This window comes from Homo sapiens, chromosome 10 (assembly GCF_000001405.40).
Source record: "Homo sapiens chromosome 10, GRCh38.p14 Primary Assembly".
Taxonomy (NCBI): domain Eukaryota; kingdom Metazoa; phylum Chordata; class Mammalia; order Primates; family Hominidae; genus Homo; species Homo sapiens.
This window is the reverse complement of record NC_000010.11, coordinates 128681308-128708051: the sequence shown is the minus strand read 5'-3', so window position 1 is coordinate 128708051 and position 26744 is coordinate 128681308. Positions and strand designations below refer to the sequence as shown.

General features: G+C 43.2%; 1 long non-coding RNA gene across 2 annotated transcripts; it reads left to right on the top strand.

Annotated features, from left to right (window-relative positions):
* The first annotated feature begins 16672 nt into the window (after positions 1 to 16672).
* LOC105378554 (uncharacterized) lies at positions 16673 to 26454 on the top strand. Of its 2 annotated transcripts, XR_946459.2 has the most exons (3): positions 16673 to 16802; positions 19005 to 19196; positions 21075 to 26454. It is a non-coding gene; the product is annotated as an uncharacterized LOC105378554 (long non-coding RNA). The 2 variants fall into 2 exon arrangements; XR_007062389.1 differs by lacking the exon at positions 21075 to 26454 and having other exon boundaries at positions 19005 to 19928.
* Positions 26455 to 26744: the final 290 nt, after the last annotated feature.

Sequence of the window (26744 nt, the reverse complement as noted above, 5' to 3'; positions counted from 1 at the left end):
AGGGTGGAATATGCCCCGAGGCTATCTGGCTCTTTACAGATAAAGTTTGTTGAGTCCATTGTAAAGAAAAGTAAATTACTTAGCAGTGGCTAATATTTCTCCTGAAGAACTTTCACAAAGATTTTTGGTTCAATATTCAGAGATGGTTTATAGAACTTTGCAGATCGGTTCATTGCAAGCTGGGTAACAAGGATGCCTGAGCTACTAAGTCCAAGCTCTGAGCCACACTTTGGGTGGTTGAGCCCATATTTCTGAGGGACTTTCATCCAGTTATTTATTCAAAACGTGTTTTCTGTGCTGCAATTCTGCAGCAGAGATTGTGTCAGGGTTTCAGGCTTTTGAGAAATGGAGATATTGAAGTCCTCAACAACTGTGTTCTCCACCACTAAAAGGAACACAGATTTAAACTCTACAAGTGGAGAAATAATCCCAGACAACTCTTCTTAATATGAGTTACAATGTTTAGCTGGGCAGGGGAAGGGATTGAGGCCATCATAGCCTAAAGCTGACCAGCAATTTCATTTCCCTTATTGATCACATGACGTAGGCCAGGTAGTTTGCGGTGGGAATTCAAACGTGCAGTCACTTAAAAGACACCCTGCCTTCAAGGCACTCCCATCCTCACCCTTTACCTCCAAGACAGTAAAGTGCATGTGCATTGTTTTCTGGTCTCTGGCACTTCCTGTCATTTTACCTGCAGGAGTGGGTGGGACTGACTCAAATACCTCCCAGTCCTCTCAAGTTATGGAAACCCATGGTTTTCTGGACTCAACTAACCAAGGCATCCAAAACAACAAAGGTCCATGGCTCTTATTGTCTGTGGGTTCAAGTTCACACCCCTGTGCCTAAGCAGACCCATCACAGGCTGATCCCCACAGGAATTCTCACATAGGATCCCACTCTAGCCCCCCAAGGAGCCTTCTGGCTGCTGAGCACAGATGGACCCTCCCCTCTGTGCTGTAGCTCATGGCTTGCTGCTTCTTAGAATATTCACTCTCAAGAGCATCTCCATGTCCTCCAAGAAGCCATCCCCAAGGGTTCTGGCTGCTCCAGAGCTTTCTCATTTTCTCACCCAGAAACTAAGACACCTGCCATCAACCACTGAGAATGCAGCCTCGTAACTCCTTGCCCTGAGCACACACATTGTGCTAGTTTTCACCTCATCACTGGCGTGTGTTTGCATGCACTCCCTCCTTCTCTCTCTCTCTCTCTCTCCCTCCCTCTCCCTCCTTTCACTACCCCTCCCTCAAATTCAAAATAATTGTATTTATTGTGATTTTTAGTGATTCTGTCCCTCCTGATAATAAAAGTAATATGTTCACTTATTGAAAAATACAGGAAATTCTCAAGAAGAGAAAAATGAGCATCCATCATCTTACCATCTGGAAAGATACACTATTAATTCTTTCCGTTTTTTTTCCTATGCTTTTCTCCATTTATAATTGAAGTCCACTAGATAACATTTTTCATTTTAAATTATATTCTTAACATTGTGTTGGACTCATTTTTCTGCATTAAAAAATTCCACCAATATGTGTTTTTCAAAAGGCTGTATATAACCTTTTAATGATTAAAAAAAAAAAGCAATACTCAACACACTAGAAACAGGAGGGAGTATCTTCACATGATTAAGGGCACTTGTGAAATACCCACAGCTGACATCATACTTAATGGTAGATTACCCCTCGCTAAGATCAGGAGCATGGTAAGGATGTCCATTCTCCCAGCTTTCAGGTGGAGGTTCTAGCTAAGGCAATTGGGCTTGGAAAAGAACTAAAAGGTATTCAGTTTGAAAAGAAAAATGTACAACTATCTCTATTGTTAGATGACACAATTGTGTAGTTGTATACAATTATGTTTTATTTTATATTGCTATATTTTTATGGAAAACTGATGATGAACCTAAAAGCTTTTTTAATTTTACTTTTTATGCATCAAAAATTAATAAAATACTTAGAGATAAATTTAACAAAATAAATGGAAACTATATACACTGGAAACTACAAAAGTTCATTGAAAGAAGACGTAAAAAATAGAAAAAAATCCCATGTTGATGGGTTAGAAGACTTAATATTGTTAAAATGTTAATAGTCCCCAAGTCAATCTAAAGGATGAATTAAGTTCCTATTAAAATTCAAGCTGATCTTACATTTACATGGAAAATGCAAAGGACTCAGAATAGCCGAAACAATCATGAACAGAAGAACCAAGTTGGAGGATTCACATTTCCCAATTTTAAAACTTAATACATAGGCACAATTATAAAGATAGGTTGATACTAGCATAAGGATGGACATATAAATTAATGAAATTCAATTTAGAACCCATAAATAAACTTATACATTTAGGGTCAATTGATTTTTCAACAAGAGTGCCAAGACATTTCAATGGAGAAAAAAATAGCCGTTTTGGCAAATGGTATGCCAAATTGATATCCATATGAAATAATTAATTTTGACCCCTACCTCACATCATATATAAAAAATAACTCAAATGGACCAAAACACAAAAAGTAAAATGTAAAGCTATAAAACTCTTTGAAGGAAACATAGGTGTAAATTTTTATGACCTTTGAATAGGCAATAGTTTCTCAGATGTGACACCTAAAGTATATCTACCAAAGAAACAGGAGATGAATTTGACTTCATCAAAAACTATTATGCTTTGAGACACTGTCTATGCTTCAAGACACTATCAAGAAAATGAAAGAGTAGCTCAGAGAATGGGAGAAAAAAATGACAAATTGTATGTCTTATAAGGATCTAGCATTAAAAAAAGAACTCATTCAACTCAGCAATTGAAACACAAAAAACCTAATTTTAAAATGTACAAAAGACTTGAATAAACATTTCTTTAAAGAAAAATATAAAAATGGCCAATAAGAAGACAAAAAGATGCTTAAAATCATTGGTCTTTTGAAATATGTTAATCAAAACCACTTCATACCCACCAGGACAACTATAATGAAAAAGACAAAAAATAACAAATGTTGGTGAGAATATGGAGAATCTGGAACCCCCATACATTGCTGGTAAGAATGTAGAATAGTGCAGCTACCCTGGAAAAATCTGGCAATTCCTCATATGATTCAGGAATTCCACTCCTAGGTACGTATCCAAGAGGACTGAGAATGCATGTTTACACACAAACACAACATTTACACAAAGGTTCATACCAGCATGATTCATAATAGCCAAAGTAGAAGCCATCCAAATGATCATCAACTGCTGATTGGATAAATGAAATGTGATTTGTTTTGCCACAACAAAAGGAATGAATTACTGATACATACTACAACACAGCTGAACCTTGAAAACATTATGCTAAATGAAAGAAACTAACAGAAAAGCCATGTGTTATATGATTCCATTTATTTGAAATATCCAGAACAGGCAAATCCATAGAGATAGAAAGCAGATTAGGCCAGGTGTGCTGGCTGGTTCCTGTAATCCTAGCACTTTGGGAGGCTGAGGTAGGTGGATCACTTGAGCTCAGGAGTTCAAGACCAGCCTGGGCAACATGGTGAAACCCTGCCTCTACAAAAAGAAAAAAAAAGAAAAAAAAGATTAGCTGGGCATGGTGGCTCATGCCTGTACTCCCAGCTATTTGGTGGGGGGCTGCGGAGGGAGGATCATTTGAGCCCAGGAGGCAGAGGTTGCAGTGAGCTGAGATCGCGCCACTGCACTCCAGCCTGAGTGACAGACTGAGACCCTGTCTCAAAAAAAAAAAACCAAGAGAGTGGATTAGTGGTTGCTGGAAGGAGGCAATAGTGGAGAGTGACTGTTTAATGGGTACAGAGGGTTTTTTTGCGGGGAGGAAAATGTTCTGGAATTAGATAGTGGTGATGGTTGCAGAAGATTGTGACTATACTAAAACCTACTGAATTGTACGCTGTGAGAGTTAAGTTTATGGCACACGAATTATATTTTTTAAAGAATATATAGAATTGCATCATGGAATTAAATTGCAATGCTTATTCTCTGATTCCATCTACTTGAAATGTCATGTGCCTTGTGCCTTGTACACCCCACAACTGAAGCATCTCTCTCTACCATTAGTCCCATTCATTAGCCCTGGACAGCCGCATTTCCACAGAACCACCTTACCTCAGGGGTGCCCTTGGGTCTTTGGGGCCCCAGCCAGTTGCTCCTCTGAATGGTTATCCTGCCCATCTTCCAGCACTATTCCCCGTTGTTTCTACTGCAGGCTACAGAGGAGTTGAATGTCCGTGTGGACCTTGTCCTGAATAGGATACATCCATACGTGCCAGGGAGCGCAATGGCTACCTTCTTTGTTTCGGAAGATGCCCCTAAGGAGACGGAGGGGTAGACTGGCACTGGTTCTCCAGGCTCCTTGTCCCCAGAGATGCAGGGGCTGCCTATGGGCTTTTAGGTGCACAGAGAGGTACCATCAGGAGGGCAGTTTGCGTGCACAGAACCCCAAAGAGGTGCTGAAGCAGGCAATGAGGAAATCGGCCTGATCCATGTGATCCCAGCCCTCAGCATCTCCACCTAAGCCAGTCACACCCCAGCCATGGCTTCTGGGGGTCCACCCCTCTTGCAATGACCTGGAGAGCTCAGGCGAATATGTATGCAAGCATGTGTGTATGTATTCAAACACACACATACACGTATGCATATATATTTATTTTTAAATGTTCCCCAATGTGTTGTTATAAAAATTTCAAAAAACAGAAATGATGAAAACATAATGCGAATGCATAATTTAATGATTGTCACATTTTCCTATATTAACTATCTCCCTCTGTAGAGGTTTCTGCAACATATTTTGTTTTGTACTACTTGAAAGTTGGAACCTCATGATACTTAAATTATAAATACTTCACCTTGAATCTCCTAAGAATAAAGTGGTGTATTTGTCTACACAGCCACAATACATTATCTCACTGAAAAAACTATAAATAACTTCATAATATTATCTGACATCCAGACCAAAGTCACATTTTCCTAATTATCTCAAGAATGCCTTTTATAGGATTCGATTTAGATCCACATTTGCTTTTGGTTGCTGTCATGTCACTTTGGTCTCCTTTAGTTGGGAAAAGTCCACCTCCCTCCTTTTTCTCTATAACAATGTCTTTTTGAAGAACCCAAGATAGTCGTCTGTGGAACACCCCACATTCTGAAGCTGTCTAATTATTCCCTAATGTTTGTAGTTTAACTCTTTCCTCCAGCCCTGTATTACCTCTAAGCTAGAAGTTTGGTTTAGAATCTGATTCTATTTTAATGATTTTTAAATATTAAATTAATAGAGATTGAAGAAAATTTGGAAAGTAACAAAAATGTTTGAATCACCCACATTCTCTTTTCTCCTCACAATTATTTTCCATCTTTCCCTGCAGTCTTTTGTGAACATTTCTTTGGATATTTTTTCACCCATCCCTTTAATAAACATATTCATTTATCTTATACTCCATCTATGGAATATCTGCCACTCACCAGAAGCGGCATGGCCTTGTCTAGGTGGCTGTGTTCAGGCTACATAAGTACATTTTAATTCTGCTTTTTTTTCACTATGCACTTTACCATAAGCATTTTCCGTGTTATCACACAGACTGCAATCTTCATTGAAATTAATTGATACAGTCTCAATTCCTTTTTTTCTTCCAAAATTCAAAATAATGTTATCACCACAATTTCAACCAGTGAAACACTATAAAGATGCAGAAAGATGACAAAATCAGCACACGTTCTTGGCATCTCCAGATGGCCCATGCCAACCAGTCCCAGCCTAGCTCATTTGTCCACAGCTCGGAATGGCTGCAGAAATGAGACACACTGGGCAGCTAAACACGGCTCTCTCTTCCTTCATTGTCCTTGTTTAGGGGGTTGGTGGCTTTGTGAAAAGAGAAAGCCTTGCATTGCAGTTTGGTCTTGGAATGAACCTGATTTCATTTCTCAGGCTAGTTGCCCCCAGCTGGGGTGAGTGTGAAGCCACCCCCACCTCCCCCTCCCCCTATACCCCCACCCCATCTTCTGCTGAGTCCACTTTCTCCTGAGCTGCCGGAGGTCCCTGGGTAGAGGTGATGGTGGGGAGTCAAGATGAGCTCAAGGGGCTGGCCTCTGCTCTTGGGAGTCCTGAGTATTAGGCTCTTCATGATATTCCTTTAATGAAAGGCCCCCCTGCCCCCTCTCACTCATTAAACAGCAGTGCCTGCAAGATTCTCATCTCCTGGACATGCAGGGCTCAGGGTCAGCTGCCCCAGAAGTACTCAAGAACTTTAGAGACAGCTGAAGCTCACCAGCCTGAGACCCATCTTGCCTCTTCAGAACACTGAGGGAGTCCAGAGATCAGTGTCTAAATCCAGCTCACCCAGGCCGACCTGAAACTTTCCCAGATGCAGGGATGCTGCACATCTTGGCATTGGTCCCCAACATGTCTGGACTCCTGTGCCAAGCTCTGCTCAGGGGGCAGCCAACGTTGGTGGTGAGGCAGGAGGGAGGGAGAGAGGGAGTCAGGATCTCAATACTCTGAACCAACCGGGGGCAGAACTGGAGGTCTGGGCCAGCTCCCCTCAGACAGAAACCCCCTCTCATAGGGATTGCCCCAGGAATGCATATGGAAGGCTCAATTCTTCTGGCCCAGGTATAGCCCCAGCTGACATCTCATCCCAATCATCCCCATCCTCCACCTCCACGTGGCTGTCCCTGGCATGGCTACTATGCATGAGGTTGGGCCAGGCAAGACCCCCCGACTACAACTGGAAACATACTTGCTCCTTAAACATGCAGTGACATCCCAGAATCTTCTCTCAGATTTGTTGCCTAACAGGGCTGTTGAGCACCCCTACTTTTTAGTTGTTCAGAAGGGCATGCTATTTTAATCTGAACAAAAATATTTTCTTCAAAGATAGCTTTATGGTTTTTCTGATTATAAAATAAAGCCATGCTCATTATTAAACTATTCACAGTTATGTAGAAATCCATTGTTGATTTTTGGTGGATGTAACGCCAGAGTTGATGTGTTTTTTGTGCTTGTATGCAAGTACACAGTAGTGCAAGACGGGGCTGTGGAATGTTCACTATAAATTTGCATCATTATTTTAACAGTTATGTAGTATTTTATTTTATGGACATTTGACAATTTAGCTGAACAGTTCTCTGCTATATGAAGTTCCAGTTGTTTAAAATATTTTTCCTCTTATAAACAACTTAGAAAAAATTGCTTTTATATTATCTTCCATGAATTTCTGGATTTGATTATTGGAAGCAACATTTGAAAGTATGCACACTACTGAAGTTTGTTCTACATTTTAATGGTCTCCTTCACAATATTTTTAAAAATTTCCCCCCGTGACAGTTTAAGAATGTCTATTATCTCATATCATATTCAACATTACATATGATTGCATTGTTTCATTTTTGCATATTTTTATTCTTTTTAACCTAATAGGCATACACGTTTCAGGTAAATTTTTATTTTCTGATTATGAGTGATTCTTAACATCTTTCTATCTGCTTATTTCCATTTCCATGTGTTTGACCATTTCTATATGAAGTGTTAACCTTTTCCAATTGATCTGGAGGAAGCTTTTATGCATAAGGCTACCAGCTCCTTCTCTGGACTCCCCTTGATCTGCCCTTCTGGTCTGTCACATGTCTGCATTTTCCTTGTAGATGTTTGCTTTTTTTTTTTTTTTTTTTTTTTTGCTTGTCTTATTTTTAAATTTCTACTTGTTTGCTATATGCATGCTTTTTCCCCCTAGCTAAATCTTTCCATCTTTTTTCTTCTTTATGATTTCACCCTCTGATTTAAGCTTAGAAGTCCTACTCCTTCTCAAGATCATTTATTTCTTCTGCTTCATAGGGGGCTTTATTTTCTGTGTTAAAGCTAGGATACATCTGGACTTAATTTGGGTATATGTTATGTGCACTAGGATTCTTCTACCCCATAGGATGCCCTTGTACAAATAAGAAAAAGATGACTTTTTCTCAGAAAAAAGAGTTAATATACTATTTCTCAATGATAAGACGACTATGTGTCACATCCTTTGCTAGACCCTGGGGATGTGAACACAAGGACAAGTTCTCCAGGGAAGATGTGCCTCTTCAAAGGTTCTCCTTGTGCTGAGAGGGGGTCTGGCTTGCAGGCGTCGGAGCCAAGCTTGGCTGAAGCCTTGACATTTTCAACTAACCTAACAATGAGGTGAGGAGCAAAAATTATTGTTTATAAAATAACTTATTAATAGAAAATAAACATTAGTAATTACATAGTGATTCATGGCAACGGAAGGTATTTGTAGTTTAAATTGAGAACTTAGCAATATTATCGTGATAAATTATGCAAACAGCAAAGGATATAAACTACAACATGAAAGGTTCAAAGTCTTAGCCAGGACATGACTGATAAGAGATCTGTTTATATTTTATTTATTTTTCTTTTCTAAAAAATATGTCTATAGATGAATACATCAGTAGAGAAGGCTGTCATTGTTCAGTGGCTCTGGTCATATTTGATATTGCTAGATTTACAAGATCTTTCAATAATTGAGCTTGTTCTTTCTCTCCAAGTCTTAAGTAGGATGATGTATATCGACCATATCTGAACTAAGCACATGACTTTCATTTGATGAAAAATTGCCATAATATGCTAATTTATGTTCAAACAAGATTCTTTACTGCCATCTGCTTGAAAACTCTCAAATACATACAAAGACTCCAAAGACAGTCAACAAATTCATAATACAAACGTGAAAAACGTTAAAAATAATAAAATGACCGTTACGTAAAAGGCAGACTCTTCATTGCGACTCTTCTCCTTGTGAAATACATACCTGGACACCTGGGTGACACCCCAGCAATTCTGCCCCCTCCTTTCAAAAATGCTTACTTAGAGGTCGCATCACCATTTATTAAACAGTTTGTTTTTCTCATTGACTTCGAATACCACCTCGAAGCACATGTTGAATTGCTATGCATACTTGGGTATCGTTTCTGCATTTCTTCTTCTACATTTTGATCTCTTTGTATTTGCACAATTACAGCACTGTCTTAATTCTATACTTTGTCTAATATATGGTACAATAAACTTCTTCTCATTATTCATATTTTGTTTGTTCAGTAATTTTCTGACTATTTTGCATGTTTATCCTTTATATTGAAATTTCAAATCATTTTATTCATTTCCAAAACTGACCTCACACACATACACACACACAAATTCTGCTGGAATTTTATTGGGATAATGTTTAGCATAAAGAATAATTTGGGGAGTATTGTCATTTTTACAATATTGAGTCTTCCTGAAAAAACAGTATGCCTCTCCACTTATTAAAATCTTCTTTTATGTTCCTTAGTAGAATTTTATAGTTTTCCTCATATACTTTTCCCGTGCATTTCTTGGTAACTATTCCTAGGTCCTTCATATTGTGGTTTTGCTATTGTTCTATGGAGTCTTATATCCATTTTATCATCAGAATGATTGTCATTGGCATATGATAAGGCAATTAACTTTTGTTTATTTATTTTAAACTATGTATGTCACAGAAAACTTATTATTTTTAATATTTATAGTGATCCTTTTACATTCTTACATTTTTCAATCATTATTTTTTTGCAAATAATGAAAAACATGCTTCCCCATGCGAACATTTACACTTTTTATTTTGCTTTTCTGATCTTATTCAATGGGGTTCACACACCGTAAACCATGTAAAAGAAATAGTGGCGATAGTAAATGCACAGAGGCTCTGGTGAGCTGTTTTTCGAGAATGTGTTCATCCAATGAAAGACGTCACCCTCTGTCATCTGGCAGTTTTCTCTTTCTTCCATAGTCCTTAGCAGGCCCAGCAGGGCTTGGCTGTGGAATTCAGCAGGTGGGAGACTTGGTGGACTGAGGATGGCCAAGGGGCCCCAGATGCTTAGGTTAGATAATGAAGGAACATCCCTCCTCAGAGCCACCTGAGCCTGAGCGTCCCTCCTACTCAAAAGCAGCCAATCCCCACCCCCCATAGCAGGGGTATGTTGGAGATTCCCCCCAAACTGCCAACAGGTAAGGGGAGCAGGAGCCTCTTTGCTCCGTGACTGTGGGTGCGAGAGGAAGCAGGCGGCGCTGAGCAGTTGCCTGGGTACCGAGGCCTGGCTCGCGTTCTGTCAGACTGGCTCGACATCTCGATTCCCTTCTCATTCACTGATTCAGAAAGCACCAACTATGTGTCACGTCCTCTGCTAGACCCTGGGGATGTGAACACAAGGACAAGGTCTCCAGGGAAGATGTGCCTCTTCAAAGGTTCCCCTTGTGCTGAGAGGGGGTCTGGCTTGCAGGCGTCAGAGCCAAGCTTGGCTGAAGCCTTGACATTTTCAACTAACCTAACAACAAGGTGAGGAGTTCACCAGGCAGATGGGAGGAGGAGGCTTGGCACGTGTTCTGGGGGTAAGAGGGAGAGGCTAGGGTGATGGGGCCGGGCGTGGGGATGAGCAGCAGGAAGGCACCACCACTGGGGACTTGCCTTCTGAGCTCAGAGCTCAGACCACGTCCCTCGCACCTGGAGAGCCTGCCTTTCTTTCCTCATGCCAGAGGCTGGCACGTTTGATCACCTGCTTAAATGGTTTTTTTCCTAGATCCTCTACAGATGAGTATAAGTTAGAACGGCCATAAGTTCTAGAGTCTTGAATCGTATCAGTATGACTGCAGCAATCCTCAGACTTAATTATAAAGTAGGTTTGCCTTGTAGATTCTCAGCTCACCATAAAACTGGGTGATCTTTGCTGGGACTTCTAGCAAACCCTACAAAACAAGTCCCAGACTGCATTCTGACCGCCAGCTTCCCTGGTAACTTCCCAAAGTCTCTTGAAAACCCACATCATTAACAGGGTGCTGGGAGGTGCTCGGGAAGCTGAGGGACTCCCTTGCCTGGCCGCTGGAGTTTCATTAAAGGGAACACCCAAATTATCTAGTGAGTTGCTCTTTATCCCATACAACCTTGTTCTTTTAACTGAGTACAGGCTAATGATTGTGAACAGGGATTAAAGCCCCTTATTTTAAAGAACGACTACTTCCCATTTGAATTACTTTTAAACACACCACTTTGCCTCTAATTTAAAATGAATAACAGGCTTAGAGCAGACAACAAAAGATCATTAACCTCATAAGATAAGTGTATCAGGAATTTTGTGTTTTGCCAGCAAATGGAAGAGAATGGGAGAAATGTGCTAATGGGGAGATTTTTTTTTAAGCATCATTATCTGGGGGACATCTTTTTTGGTATTCAAATAAGAAAACGGAATTCTCTCCAATGCCCACTTGAGCTTTTGTTCTGCTCTAATTGAAAGCAAACCTGTACATGGAAAATGATCCTTGTAAATGTGAACGGTTTAGTTTGGGTTAAAAAAAATTAATCTTTTTTTTTTTTTTTTTTTTTTTTTTTGCAGAGAACAATTATCTTAGAGAGTAGTTTTCATCTTGTTGTTTGTCCTCATTTCATTTTCTGGCTTAATAATAATTCAGAATAAAAGTGCGATTTCATAGTCCTGGGTTTTGCCATTGAAGATACAAAAATCCAAGGGAAAGAACAACAGGTAATGTGAGGAAGCTCTGGACTCAAAGATTCTGGAATTTTGCTTTTTATTAAACATGTGTTTCTAGAAAATGCTTCACTTTTGTAAACCTTTAATTATTTTGTTTGAATGTGTCTGTGGATAGAGAAAAATCAGTAAGAATGCTTCTTTAACAAAAAAGCAGAGAAAAAGCAAGACGGTTTGGAAACAGAAACAGAACCAGGTAGAGACAGGGGGACAGGCTGAGGGCATGGAGGGCTGTGGGGTGTTTCTAGAAGCTTCTGGATTCCTGGGGAAGGTGGCCCCACCGTGCCTGTGGCTGGGCTGGCCTGGGCTTAACCGTCCAATGCACAATGGGGGTCCCACAGGCTCTATCCCCTCTGCTTCTCCCTGTGGCTGGGCAGGCGATGGCCCTGCACGGCAGCCTTACACCGCATAGGAGGGCTGCAGTGTGCATGGGGCTCCGGGAAGAGGCCGGGGTGCTGGGCAAGGCCGAGAGGGGTGAGCCGCTGTCTCTTCTGGGCTTTCAAAAACTCCTGTCAGTTGGCTACTGACTTCCTAATGCACACTCTTCTAATTCTTAATTAGAGCGACATAGCTAATTAATAAGTTTTTTCCAATTATAAATCAACTTAGGATCAGAACTCTGGCTTTGCATGTAATTTCCTATAATCGCTAAAGCTACTGCAAAAACATGCCTCCTGCCAACCGGAACTTTTTTATTTAACACAGACAGACAAGTTCTCACTGGGTTTACATTTTACAGCAAATTATCTCTGTTGGGATTTATGAAGAGAAATTAAATATATATATATCAGAGTTCCCCCCCTTCTTCTCCCTCCCCTCTTCTTGCTTAAACAAAATAGCATCCTTACAGAATCATTTCTCTTAGAAATTTTAAAGGGAATTTGTCTTAATATTTTCATGTTATTGCGGAGTAGGAAAAGAGAAAGAGCAGGTGATAATTCGTTTTTGTTCATAACTGTTACCACCTTTTCATGGCTCCTGCAAAAATGAATTGGGAGGTGCCGGCATGCTGTTCATTTATAGAATCTTAACTGGAGAGACACTTCTCTCTTTAGTAATGGAGAGTAATTAAAGGTGGGCCTGTAGACCAGGCACCAGCTCTGGTGACATGTCACATCCTTGGCTGCCACAATTCCTCAGTGGTTTATCAAAGACTACTCCTTTAATATGGAGATTACACTTATGTACTTGTCTGAACTTGAAAGGCATTTGCCTAATTTACTTATTAATGAGATGTAAATCTATTTGTATGGCACGTCACAAGTTTCCCCGAAATCGCTGCTACTTAACCGGTGATAAACCCTATGATTTAAACGAAAAATAATACATTTAGCTTTCCACATTCATTCTGTTAAAAATTGATATAGTCTATGTTAAATTTATTAATATTGCTTGCTGTCATTCAGTTTGCAGCTCTTGGTGAAATACGACTTGACAGCGGCCGCATTAAAGATGTATGCCATTGTATTCAACAAAGATTAATGAAGCCCGGTAAAAATAGCTGTAAAAGAGAAAGTGATCCGAATGTAAAATCAGTGAATTAAATGAGGCCGCGCATACCATTTGTTAATATGCATGAGGAGGGAGGCAGCGAATGAAAATGTCTCTATGCAAAGTTCATTTGGGAATGTTTCAATATTGTCTGGATATCCCGCAACTACTGAACAGCGGCCTAATGGAGCAGCGTCCACGCAGACTGGGTGCGCCCCGGGCCCAGTGCCCTCCTTGGTATGGCCGGCTGGGGCCGGGGCAGACGCAGGCAGCGAGGGGACCCACGCGTCTCCTCATCCTGATGGTTTTCTCCAGGTCTCTCTCCGGCGCCTCCTCCTCAAGACCCCTTGCCTGCATCGGCCTCTGTCTGTGTGAAGGAGAATGAGCTGGGAGCGTTTCCGCTGGGGGTTAGACTCCAAGTTCAGGTGCTGGCGATACCAAGTCTGTGCTGAGCTTGGAGTCAGGTTGTAGACCAGAGATGGAACCTTTCTGTGCCTTGATATTTTCCCCTCTAAATGAAGAGAGAGCTTAGCATTCCACCATTCAAAGCACTTGGACATCATAGATGAAAGACCTACATGAGTCCAAATTATTCGTAAGGCACTTAAAGAGCACAGAGCCTGGGGATTTCACCCCGGCTGATGCGTCGGTCTGTCTGTTTGCATGACGAGCCTATTCTATTCTGCCACTGCTGTATTGAAGGATCGGGTAGTGCTTTCTTTGTACTATTTGGAGGGGATGATTTATTTCCGCAGTTCTCATTATAAAATACTGCTGGTGTCATACCCTGCCAGGTTAAGACTTTCAAATAAATTAACAGTGACAGAAAATTGTATGCAGTAATCATAATATAAACCCGGCATGTTTATCAATCGAGGAGGTGTTTTGATCGATTTAAGCCATTAAGGAGAGGTATTTCTCCCAGCTTTGCCTACAAGGAGGTCAAAGGCTGTCCAGGAGAAAATAGTTTGAAGTGTTTTGTTTGGCTTTGTTTTTCGAATTTGCTGGGGATGGGGTGGTTGTTGTTTGCACGTGTGTGTCAGTTTTAATTAACAGAGTCAATGGCAATAGAGTAGCTAGTGCTGCTGCCTGACTGCCAGCTCAGAGGCAGTTGGCGGGGAGGTGCACACATGTTGAGGGTAGCAGCCCGGAGAAAGTGCTGCCTAGAGCACTAAATTTCCCAAAAGGGTGAATACAGGTGTTCGTGCTCAGAATGGTTTAGAGGGATTGTTGTTCGGCAGCTCAGCAAATGTCACCCATTCTGCAGTCTCAACAGGTACGGAGAAGCCAGAAGAATTTCCCAGATAATGCAAGAATGCCCTGCATGGGGGCTGGGCAGGTCCTTCCCTGGGTCAGCCTCCATGAACCACGTGGTGGGACTCAGTCCCAGTAGCTGCAGCAGGGACAGGGACCGGGGCAGGGGAAGTGGCTGGGGAAGGGAACATTCCCTCCTCGGGGATGTTCTCCCAAGGCCAATATTTGGCCACTATTTTAAGGTGATCATTAGACCTAAGAGTGGTTAGTGCTGTAATTAAAAGCCAAGGGAAGTCGGGTGCAGTGGCTCGTGCCTGTAATCCCAACACTTTGGGAGGCTGAGGCAGGTGGATCACTTGAGGTCAGGAGTTCGAGACCAGCCTGGCCAAAATGGTGAAACCCCGTCTCTACTAAAAATACAAAAATTAACCAGGTGTGATGGCACATGCCTGTAGTCCCAGCTACTCGGGAGGCTGAGGCACAAGAATCACTTGATCCCGGGAGAAGGAGGTTGCAGTGAGCCGAGATTCTGTCACTGAACTCCAGCCTGGGCAACAAAGTGAGACCCCATCTCGAGAAAAAAAAATGCCATGGGAACGTGCAATGTAAAATAAAGTGGCATTTTGATGGCTTGGACACCCTACCAACAAACATCAGGTCCCATCTCCCTTGGGCCTGGTCCCTGCCCCAAGCTCATAGCTAATCCGGTAATTTCCACCTGGGTTTGAACCCTCCAGGCCTCAGACTCACTGCCATTTCAGAGTGGGCTTTGAAGGAGCCAGGTGAGCTGGCATCCTCTCCACCTGCTTGGCAACTCAGCCTCGCAACCTTCCACTGCCCTCTGAGGAGCAACCTTTGGAGCCAGGCTTCCCATTGGAAGAAGTCCCAGTCATAATAGGCTGCATCCGAACCTTTGCTGGGCCTCACCTCTCTCCACCATGGTGCCGACACACACTTGTGGGTGCGTGGGCCTCCCTGTCCATGCTCACTGTGGCATCAGGGACAATGGCAGTCTAGGCCCTCCTTGGAGGCACTTTCTGGAAGCACAAAGCAAGGAGACCAGGAGGACCCCCGACACTCCAGGCAACAGGACATCAGCTCATGGAGTCCAGGGCTGCAGGGACCTTCAAAGTCACTTTTTAATCCTTCTCCCATTTACTTACTCCAAATCCTGGCTGGGCTGTCCTTTCTGATTTGATTAGGATAAGGATGACTGTTCTTCTGTAGAAAGTGAAGTTACATTGATTCCATATCCAGAAAACTTAGCCCGTTGTCCAACTTTTCCCAGTCAAAGAAATGGAAATGGGGAGATGTTACCTCTAGACTCATAGCAACCACTCTTGGAAGTGGTCAGCTCTTTGGGCTGGTGGACATATCCTACAGGAGGGCTCAGTTGTTTTAAGGCAGATTTAATGAATAAACAATGCCCAGCACCTCTGCTCTTATCCAAAAGATCCCTATGGATGATTTTCTGGGATTTCACCCAAGGGGGCTAGGAAGTCACAGGCTCCTTCTGTTATCACATGATGGGGACTGATTATTCTCCTCCTTGGTTCCCAAGTTAATCCCGCCAAAATGTCCAAGTCGTTTTGCAGGTGACTGCGTCTGCAGAAGCCACAGCGCCATGAGTCCTCAACACCCCTCTGGTAACCTTTCCTCCTCTGGAAAAGGACTGTAGTGGCAGGTCACTCATCCAAAATCACATTTCAAAGTTAAGGAAGCTGAAATGTAGACACTTTGAGATGCATCCACGGTCGCATGGTGAATTTAAACAGGACCCTACTGGTCCAAGCTCAAGACCCTGATCAACCAAGTTTTCAGGGGACAAGACCAAGACTGGGATTCTGTCTTGGACTTGAAAAGGCAGGTGTTACAGTCAAGAAGAAGGGAGGGTGAACTGAGAAAATCTCAGCGCATGTCCCTTTATGCCCTAAGCTTCAAATACAATCACAAGATTGTTAAAGGAATAAGGGTATCTTTGTGCTGTTTGGATTTAACGTTCCTTTTTTAGGGAAAACGTTAAAAATAAAATAAAATTCAGATGTCACTTATTTAACTAACCTCTGAGCTATTACATGGAATGAGTTTGTGACCTAAAAATTTGTTTTAAAGGATTCAAACGAACTGCAGGATGGGCAATTCTTGAGTAGCAAAAGTCTTAACATTCTGAGCGGAATGCAGTTGTATACACTTTGTAAACAAGTGCCTCAGAAATACCAGTTTTGCACGTTTGCTGTGGCTTTGTAGTTAGGACATTAATTAATGACCAAATAGAGAAATGTCTGTGTGCCCAGCAGATGGTAAACAAGCCCAGGAGAACATTACCATCTGAATTGCAAAGAAGGCTGGCAGCTTCCTGTCCCCACACCCTGCCCAGATCTGCCAGCCTGTTCCTAAGAGCGGTGGCTGTCGCTCACACAGATCCTGAGTGGACTGGAGATGGGCTGCCGGGGGCTGGCATTCTTAGGATCAAGGGCCACAGATCTTTCCATCAGAGTGTGGGAGGAGGCACAGGTCAGTAACTGACACAGGATGCTGAGTTACCGGCTTCTATTTCTCTCTCTCTCTCTCTCTCTCTCTCTCTCTCTCTGTTTAATTATAAAGCTACAGGGAGGATGCTCTGGTGAAGTCTGACCTCTGAGAGCCAGGCTGGCTTTTCTCTCTTTCTGAGCTCAGGGGCATTGCTGCTAATGAGGGTAGAGAAGGCACAGATACGACAGAGGCAATAAATGCCAAGGACCCGCCCACGAGCCATGTGTGGCCTGTGAGCCTCCAACCCTCTGCAGCACCCCATGGCCAGCAGGGTCTCTCCCCCAAAGACAGGGCCAGGGTCACCAGATGCAGGTCATGTGTGTCTTGCCCTGGAAGGTGACCATCTGGGCAATGGGCGGTGCTCAAGAGACAGGGAACCACATTTCTAAGCTCAGCACTACAGGGACGGCTGAATAATGGCTGGAATTAGCAGAATTTATTGGTCTTAAGAAGCCTGTGGAATAATCAGCTTCTGGCTTTGCTGTCAACAAGGTATCCTGAATTGAAGCAAATGTCACTCAACAAAATGTTGAAGGCAAATGGTGATGCAGAAACTTTCTTTTATTCTCAAATGCAGATTTGGTACTTTGATTTATACGTGACCATCCTGTTTACTCTTTAAGCAATTCATTTCACTAAATTAGAAACTGTACAAAATATACACTCACTGCCTACCTGCACTGATATATGAATATAGGTGTGTTTATAAATAGTTCAAGGTGGAGAATCGAAAAACATTAATTGCATAGTTCAAAAATTAGAGACAAACTTGTCTTAGGTGTTTTGAAATCAGTATGCTTAGTTCTTAACTATTTTTAAACTTATTTCTCTTTTCCCCTTCATGTCTTTCTGAGATATAACCTCATAAATACTTATACCTCTGTATTTTATTTCCAAATATTTACTTTCCCTGATTTTTTAACTACAACAACTTCAGAGTTTAAAAATAAACAAGTTGGGGCATAATCAGTGTGCACAAACAATTCATTAATAATTAAAGTCATCAGTCAGTTGGCATGTGTGGTCAGGACCAACAGGGACATACATTTTTTAAGCCCCAAAGCAGAAAAAAGAAACGTAGACATTAGAAATGTCTAGAAATGATGGGGAAAGGGCAGGAGACAGGGCCGTTTGGCAACCATTCTCACTGCTGGAAACCACTGCCACCAGCAGCACTGCCACTGATTACAGAAAACCTCTGGGAGTTTGTTTTGTTTTGATTTGTTGGCTGAAGATGATATTGATGAAAAGTTGTATCTCAAAATGGCCTGTTTATAACATTGATAGTCACTGGTTATAGAAGCTGTACTGCGGAGAGCAAGCCTTTTACCCACATTGTCATAGTCCATCTCCCTCCAGCCGCATGAAGTCTCACTGTCACTCTCACTAAGCCTCTTTTCATTGATGGATGAACTGAGACCTGGAATCAAAAACAAAGTGGAAGACTCCAGTAGGCACCACGTACCTAGAATAATGTCTCTCACTGTTACTTATTGAGCAAATTTAAAAATTAGCATCATGCAGAGATGGCTGAGCCATCCCATGCGGAGATGTGGGCGGGAGAGGCTGCACTGGGCTGGTCAGTTCAGCAGCCTCAAGATAGTCTCATAGAAGCCTGTCCCGCAAAACTGTGAACCCCCTGAGGGCAGGGTGGGTTACTTCTCACCCCACCCTCCACCCTCCAGTACCCCCATCAAGCCTCATAGCAGAGAGCCAGGTAAGCACAGGAGAGTTCTGTCTCAATCTGAAAATCGTTAATCGGCAGATTTGTCTTTTTATCCTGTAACTCAGCGCATGTGTTTTAGCCCCGACTGCTCAAAAAACATGTAAGGATATGGACTCTTTTAGATTCTCATTAGATTGGCTTGCTGATTTATTTTTCTTAAGCACCTTTCTGTGAAAGTTCCCATAAAGTCATAATAAACATGAGACATGTTGACTCAGTGCCTAGAAAGCATCTTCTCTTTTTTCACCTGCCTTATCACATTTGAGCCTCAGAACAGCCCCCTTAGTGGTGGTCTTACCTTCACAGCATATAATTTTTTTGTTTTGTCTAGGAAGTTATGATTACTTCTATTTTTCTGCTGCTTATAATTTTGGTTGTGACTCAAAACAATTTTAATGAAAATGAAAAACAATGTAATTTTTTTTTTTTTTTTTTTTTTTTTTTTTTTTTTGAGACAGAGTCTTGCTTTGTCGCCCAGGCTGCCGTCCAGGGTTGCGATCTCGGCTCACTGCAATCTCCACCTACTGGGTTCAGCGAAACTGCTTCTCAAACTGTGGATCCAGACAAGGTGAAGGACCCTGGTAAACTGAGGACAATGTTTGTAGCAGAACTCCCCAAAACTATCGTCACCGACTCATGACATCACACAGGTAATAATGCAGGAGCACACATGCTCCTCTGGTGGAGAGAACTTTTGGATCTTGTTCACTGCTACCATCCCAGGACTTAACAGGGCGCTTGATAAATGTTTGTTAAATAAATAAACGCACATCACGCATTTCCACCCAGAGTACCCCTACTGGAGTCTCCCTCACCACATCAGCGGGGCTCTGTCCCAGAAATCCCTAGTCCTCTCTTTTTTTTTTTTTTTGAGACGGAGTCTCATACTGTCGCCCAGGCTGGAGGACAATGGCCCAATCTCGGCTCACTGCAACCTCCGCTTCCCAGGTTCAAGTAATTCTCCTGCCTCAGTCTCCTGAGTAGCTAGGATTACAGGCACACACCACCACGCCTGGCTAATTTTTTGTGTGTTTAGTAGACAGGTTCTCACCATGTTGGCCAGGCTGGTCTCCATCTTCTGACCTCGTGATCCGCCCACCTCAGCCTCCCAGAGTGTTGAGATGACAGGCGTAAGCCACCGCGCCCGGCCCCCCAGTCCTCTCTTATGTGTTGACTCCTGCTCGGCACCCGGGATGTGCGGAGTGACTGATGTTGTCAGTGACCTTTCCACTGTGCCCTCCGACTTCCCCACCCAGATGGGAAGTATTTTCAATAGGACGTCTGTTGGCTGAGAAGGATTTCTTTTCCCACCCATTTGAAAGCTATCCACTGTGAAATGTAGCCAGCAACCTGCCACCAGCAATAAATTAAAATCAATGAAATTCCCAGTCTGAGCTTTTGCAAATTTAGGACTGGCCTTCTCTGCGTGGGTGTTATGCTGAGGCCTGATGCAAACCACACTCCTTATCTCTGACTTTTTAGGCGGCCTTCCTTCTGCTACCACTTGCAGGTGAGAGCAGGTGAGCCCTGTGTCTGCATTTATACTTAGTATTTGGTGACAAATCATTTTTATACCATCTGTCATCACTAGAAGAAGCCCTGACATTCTCCCCTCCCTAGGAAGTCCATTGGCAAAAGCTTCATGAACCAAGATGAAGGCAGAATCACAGTTCCAGGAGACAGTTCTCCTAGCGGAAGCTGGGTCTCCAATTCCTGAAGCTTAGAGTAATGACAATACCATCTAATGTATGTGCTTTCAATATACAAAACCCTGTCACATTTACTGCGAGTGCATTTAAGCCTAAAACAACCCACCAAGGAGGATATGAACATTTTATTTACAGCTGAGACAGCTGAGACTCAGAGAAGGGAAGGGCTAGTCCAAGGCTACGTAGTCAGAAGGAGAAGAACTGGAATGTAAACACACACTTGCTGGCTGGAATTTTATTGCAGGGAGACAGAAAGTTTAAGGACAGTTTCTGTCTCTGTTCTCAAACGGCATCTTTCTTTTGTGAAGACTTGGGTATTTGCCTAGGAAACCAAAGGCCTCCCTCTGAGGACCACATTCAGACCTACCCAAGCTTGTCCACAGGCAGGCCCTGTTCTTCTGCTGGGACCCCTCCCCGGGGCAGGGGCTCTCAGGTTGACTGGGGCTCACAGGGCCGCACAAAGCCCCCTTGTGTCATCAGGATCCCCATCTCAGAACTAGAACCTGGTATAGAATAATAACATCACAACAAGACTGACCGAGGACGGGGGAGCCAGCCTAAATTACTCCTCCTCTGTTGGGTGAGCCCCCTGCAGAGACCTTTCCAGCTGCAGACACCAGCCTCACCCAATGGCCACTCTTTCCTGGCAGCCCTCACCCCTGGCTGACCCAAGAGTGCAGAAAGGTTTGGCTGTCCTGGCTCCACTAGGAACAGATCTTGAGGGCGGTTCCAGCTCTGGGACACATGAGGAAGTGGAGCATGGCAGCTTAACCTCTCCCTCCATCCAGTCCTGCCTTCTCCCTGCCCTTCCTTCCACAGGCACTGATGCCCACGCCCACCCTCAGAACTGTCCTCCAAGTCTGCCTCCTGCACCCTAACCGGAGGCACATCTTGAGGCAACGTCACCTTGATGAAGTGTCCTCATCACCCTGGCATCAGCCAGGCGACAGTGTCCCCGCCCCTTGCTTCTGGAATGACAGCAAACTGTCGCCTCCCTCGCGGGGCAGGGTCTGCCTGTCTTCAGTCCCTGGGCTGCCTGGAGAATAATCACTCACTCTCCCTCTCTGCACCTTTTGCTCTGCCAGGCTTGGACATTTATTCAAGCAGGGTTTTATTTTTTCACTTCTGTTTGCCTATGTTAACATCTACATTGAAGCAATGCCTGAGTTATCACCGCAGCTTCCACTTTTGCAGTAAGAAGTTCATCAAATCCTTGCCCCATGGCACCTGGGTGGCCTGACGGCTGGACCTCAAAGGGCAGAAAAATTCCCAGTTCTGCCTGGGAGAGAACCACACTCTCCCAATGCGGGGAAGACGGAGTCATGCCCCATTCCCCCACGCTGAAGGAAGAGCCAGGATCCTTGATGACACCAGTAAAACCTAGCTTCCAGTTCTGCTTGGTGGAAAGCCAGGTAATTCAAGAGGGAAAGCACAACTGGAATTCGGGGGCTGATTTCCGAGTTCTCTGCCCACACACCCTCGGCTCCAGCCCTGAGCCCAGGCCCGGATGCAGTTGCTTCCCCTGCCCCGTCACGCACTGTGTGTGGCTTTTGGACAATCAAGGGGAGCTAGGAAGGAGCTTCTGGACGTACTCAGAACAAGTGGATGCCGGGGTGCCCACAGCACAGAAAGAAAAAGCAAAACAAAACAATGCAGTGTTTGGCCCTTTGCTATCATTTCATCACAGCATCCCCCATCGCCACTTCTCCATGGTCTCACTTTATGCTGTTTAGGTTACCTGCGGTCACCCTCGGTTCAAGAATAAGTGAGTACAGCACAATAAGACATTTTGAGAGACAGAGGAACCATATTCTCATAACTTTTATTACAGTATATTGTTACGACTGTTTTGTTTTATTATTAGTTATTGTTGTTCATCTCACAGTACCTAATTTATGAATTAAACCTCATCATAGTCATGTATATACAGAAATAAAAACGTAGTATATACAGGGTTCAGTCCTATCCAAGGTTTCAGACATCCGCTGGAGGTCTTGGAGCACAACCCTGAGGATGAGGGGGGACAGCTGTAATTGTAACTGCATTTGCCCTCTGCCAATCAGCTCTAGTTCTATATTTGTTTACAAATTAGATAACAGGGAAGATACATAAAGCCATAAGAAGGGCCTTACAGCAGGGAAAATGGTGAATAACAACCAAAAAAGCTTAGCTAAATTATGAAGGTAAAGGCTAAAGGCAGGACTTCGCCAGAGTTGTTGGCCTGCAAAAAAAGACACTGCTCATCAGTGAAACACATTCCAGGGCTGGCCTTCCAGGGACTCTGTGCTGATGCAGGTGTGCCCACAAAGAATACTACCTGGTGATGTTCCAGAATCCTGATCTGGGCTGGCAGGATGGCTCACGCCTGTAATCCCAGTACTTTGGGAGGCCGAGGTGGGCAGATCGCCTGAGGTCAGGAGTTCGAGACCAGCCCAGCCAATATGGTGAGCCCTCCTCTCTACTACAAATAAAAAAAATTAGCTGGGTGTGGTGGCATGTGCATGTAGTCCTAGCTACTCAGGAGGCTGAGGCAGGAGAATCACTTGAACCAGGGAGGCGGAGGTTGCAGTGAGCTGAGATCACGCCACTGCACTCCAGCCTGGACAAGAGAGCGAGACCCTGTCTCAAAATAATGATGATGATAATAATAATAATAATAATAATTCTGATCTGTCATAAATCTTGTCTTTTCCTTAAAGAGCATGAAAAAAATGTTTCCCATGCTAGATGGAAATTGCAAACTCTTTCGCTGAAAATAATCAATGCAACGCAATTTCCCGTTTCCACCACCTGGTCTTGGAAGACAGGGACACTGAGATATCCCAGCTGGGAGGACGGTGCTGAGAGAATTGTGCAAGCAGAGACTAGTGTCAGCCTTTGCTTGGAACAGCTCCATTGCATTTTTATGATATAGTTTAAAGGGAGCTGGTGGGTACAATTGATTCTTGTCCTCACATTTTACATCAAAGAACCTCCATTGGCAGTTCAGGTCACCGAAATCACAAATGCAGTGGATTTAATGGCCCAAGTTTGGTCTCCAGTGATGAGCATCATAGTTACACAATTGCAATCTTCTGGCAGGTTTTTGTTGATAATAAGTTTGAACTAATCTACTTTTAGAGAAGGCAGGAGATGGACCCACTGAAGAGACAAGCAGCGAAGTCCAGCCCCATTCACTGTGCAGTCTCCTGCAAGGTTAATGCAGAGATACCTGCATGAAAACCGCTTTGCCCCACATTAAAAGCAGCTTATCCTTGGGGCTCCCCTTACCACTGCTTCAGCTGCAGGTCTTTGCTTAAAGACTTACAGGCAAAGCACTTACAGTTCCCAATCCAGTGACATTTGCAGCTTACTATAATTTATTGAATATCGTCCAAAGAGCAAACACAAGGTTTATCCTGGTGGCGTTTTAGTTGGGTTGTAAATGTTTGCCAGTTACCAAGAATAGAAAGAAAGGGTGAGACAGGGACACAGAAAGAGACTGAAAGAGAGAGGGAGGGAGAGATGCAGAGAAGTGAAGATACAGAAAGAGAAACAGAGAGGGTTCAGCTCCCAAGATTGTGCCGAACACGATGATGATGCCACAGCTGGAGTTTTCATAACTTGGATTTGCTTCACATTCAGCCTCAGCTCCCTTTGCCCACTCGAGTCTCAGCCATCGACACTGGCGCATCTGCTAAGTTGCCTTGGTAGCCTCCTTGTTCCTCCCTGACCGGGCTCACCTGGAAGCCTGCCTCAGAGAGGGACTTGTTTCTACACCCGGGAGGGAGAGGACAGGAATGTTCTGCTCTTTCCTTTCCATAGCCAGAAGATTCTACAAGGAATAATAATTCTTGAGAAGGGGGATGAGGGAGGCAAATGGAGGTTATCTCAATTTATAAACAAGATAAATTATTTGATAAAGTTAAAAAGAAACAGCCAGATGTTCAACATCATTAGCCACTAGGGAGAATCGAATTAAAACCACAATGAGATATCACTATGTACCTGTGAGAATGGCTAAAGCCATAGAGACCGAGAGTCTCGAGCTGCTGATTCTGCCCTGCTTGTGTTCCCTGAAGTCAATTTAGAGAACTGCAACCAGCACTTTATACAAAATGAAATTAATTGAATAAAATATGAATATTAGAGAACTTATCTTAGAGGCAAGTAGAGTTCTGTGAAATGTTTCTTGATGAGATGTGTGTGTTTGTGTATGTGCACGCGTGTACATACGCATATGTATGCACTGTGGATAGTGACATCAAAAAGATTAAAATTAAGTAAAAGGTATGTTTCTGAATATATAACTGTATTTAATAAGCAGATTAATGACTTCTCTCACATTTTAAATTTACTCAGCTCTACTCTAAATTTAAATACACCAAGACCCAATATGCCCATGCTAGCATATTAAATATGGAGTTTGAAGATTCTTGTGAAAGTTAAATGTGGTGATGTTTATAGAAGTACTCTGTAAACTATAAAGCTTGCCCAGATGCAAGGGATTCTGCTGCTGATACTCTTGGAAAACTGAGAATGTTCTAAAGGGCAGCATTTTTAAGCGCCTCAGCATTTTGTCAGTTTTAGGCCTAAGAATTAGGCAAAGTGTCCCAGAGAGACCGTTCAAAGGCTAAGTTCTAACTTCCTGTCCTGTTAGAGTGCTCTGCTCGGCCACCAGCTGATTTTTCTCTTTGCTTTGAAGATCAATCTTGTGGTCAAAGTAGAGTCACAGTTTCCCAGACTATTTCTCTTGCTACAAGCTGATCCTGTGCTGCATGAATTACCAGGCTTGCTCCAGGAGGGGTTGGGGGCTTAAATTTGCATCATCATTCTTCGTTGCCTGCACAGCATCAGCCAGTGGGCATTGGGGTCAAGTGCACAATGCCAGCCACAGGTGGACATCATGCCTGATCAGATGAAGTCCCACCCTCAGCCCTTGTGCTGGCTGCATCGTGGCAGGTTAGGAGATGATGGTTCCCCCCGGGGACTCTGGTCAGAGGCTCCTTGGCAGGTGCCTGGCTGTCTGCAGAGACTTCAGGGTATCTGATCTGACAGTCCTGGCAGCCCATACTTGTCTGGCACTCTGAGAAGCTGCATTTCCACCTCCCTCCCAGGCTGCCAGAGGGGAAGATGGTGATGCTTCTCCCATTTGACAGATGGGAAGACTAAGACTCAGGGAGGCTGAAATAGTTCCTTACCTCACAAAACACATAGATGGCTAAGTTTAAATTAAAAACTGGGTATTGTATTCCCCACATCTTAGTCCAGTTCTACACCACCAATGATTGTAACACATTGCTCATCTGTAAATGTCATCTAGAGCTCCAGGTAAACAAAGGATATTGGTTTATCCACCTGTGGACTGATGGCTTTTGGATACTAAAAGCATAAATGCACCATATGTCCCAGACATCTTAAGAAAGCTAAGCATCTAATTTCCTGTTGTTCTCAAAAGACTCTAGGTTCGTGTCTATTATTTTGTTCATAGATGGCATCCTAAGGCAATAGATAAGGCTTATGCTAAACCCCTTTTAAAACTACAAAAAATAAGGCATGAAGAAAGTGACTTATTTAAGATCATGGGGCAAATTACCCAGTGCCATGACCCAGACTGCTGTTCTGCCATCGACCTGGGCAAGAAGGGCTCAGAGAGGGCTGTGGATACTGTTCAGATCTGAACCAAACAACTGGGCTTGCCCACGGCTCCACTGAGATTGGTTTTAACGTCTCCTTTGAGCCTAATGAGTACATTCTTAGTAAAGTAAAACACTCAAATACTTTCACGAATTATATCTTACAAAATGTGCCATGTCCCAGTTCCGGATGTGCAAAAACTGTAAGGCCTATTTAATATTCTCTGGCTTCTGATTCTACCAATAATATGTCGATGAATGAGAGGCATACAATCAAATCGATGTTTTTTAAAGTTTTAGGTAACTCACTGGCCAACAACACAGGAGTTCCTGTCATATACTCATGCAATATGTGGATCCCCAACAGCCTTCCAACCCGTATGTGTGTTAAGAGCACAGGTGTCTCTGAGTTTTATGAGGAAGGAGCACAGCACTGAGCTGAGAGGTGTCTCTATAGCTAACATTTCCTGGGCATGTCCCGAGCACCTACTGCTGGGTGCGCCCTAGTTTTTTCCCGGTAAATTCACACTGCATGGCCCCTCTTGGCTTGCTAATGAAGCACAAGGTTGTTACAGCGTTTGTGTATTTTGGGGGATGAGCATATTTTTTGCTGACCATAGTCCCATCTGAATAATATCTAATAATAGTATGGGAAGGTCTAATAATAGTATGGGAAGAGGTTTTCCCAGGAAGCAACTATAAGATGCTCTGGCTCTTTGCCATGCAAAATGGATCTGGCTTCTCTGATGTGAGTAAACTCGTTTCAACCCAGAAGTCCTTTTGCACAATAACGTCTCCCTATAGCGGATTAAATGTAAGAAGATGAAATCAACACTCATTCACTTTTCATGTTTATCCATTTTGGATCCAAGGC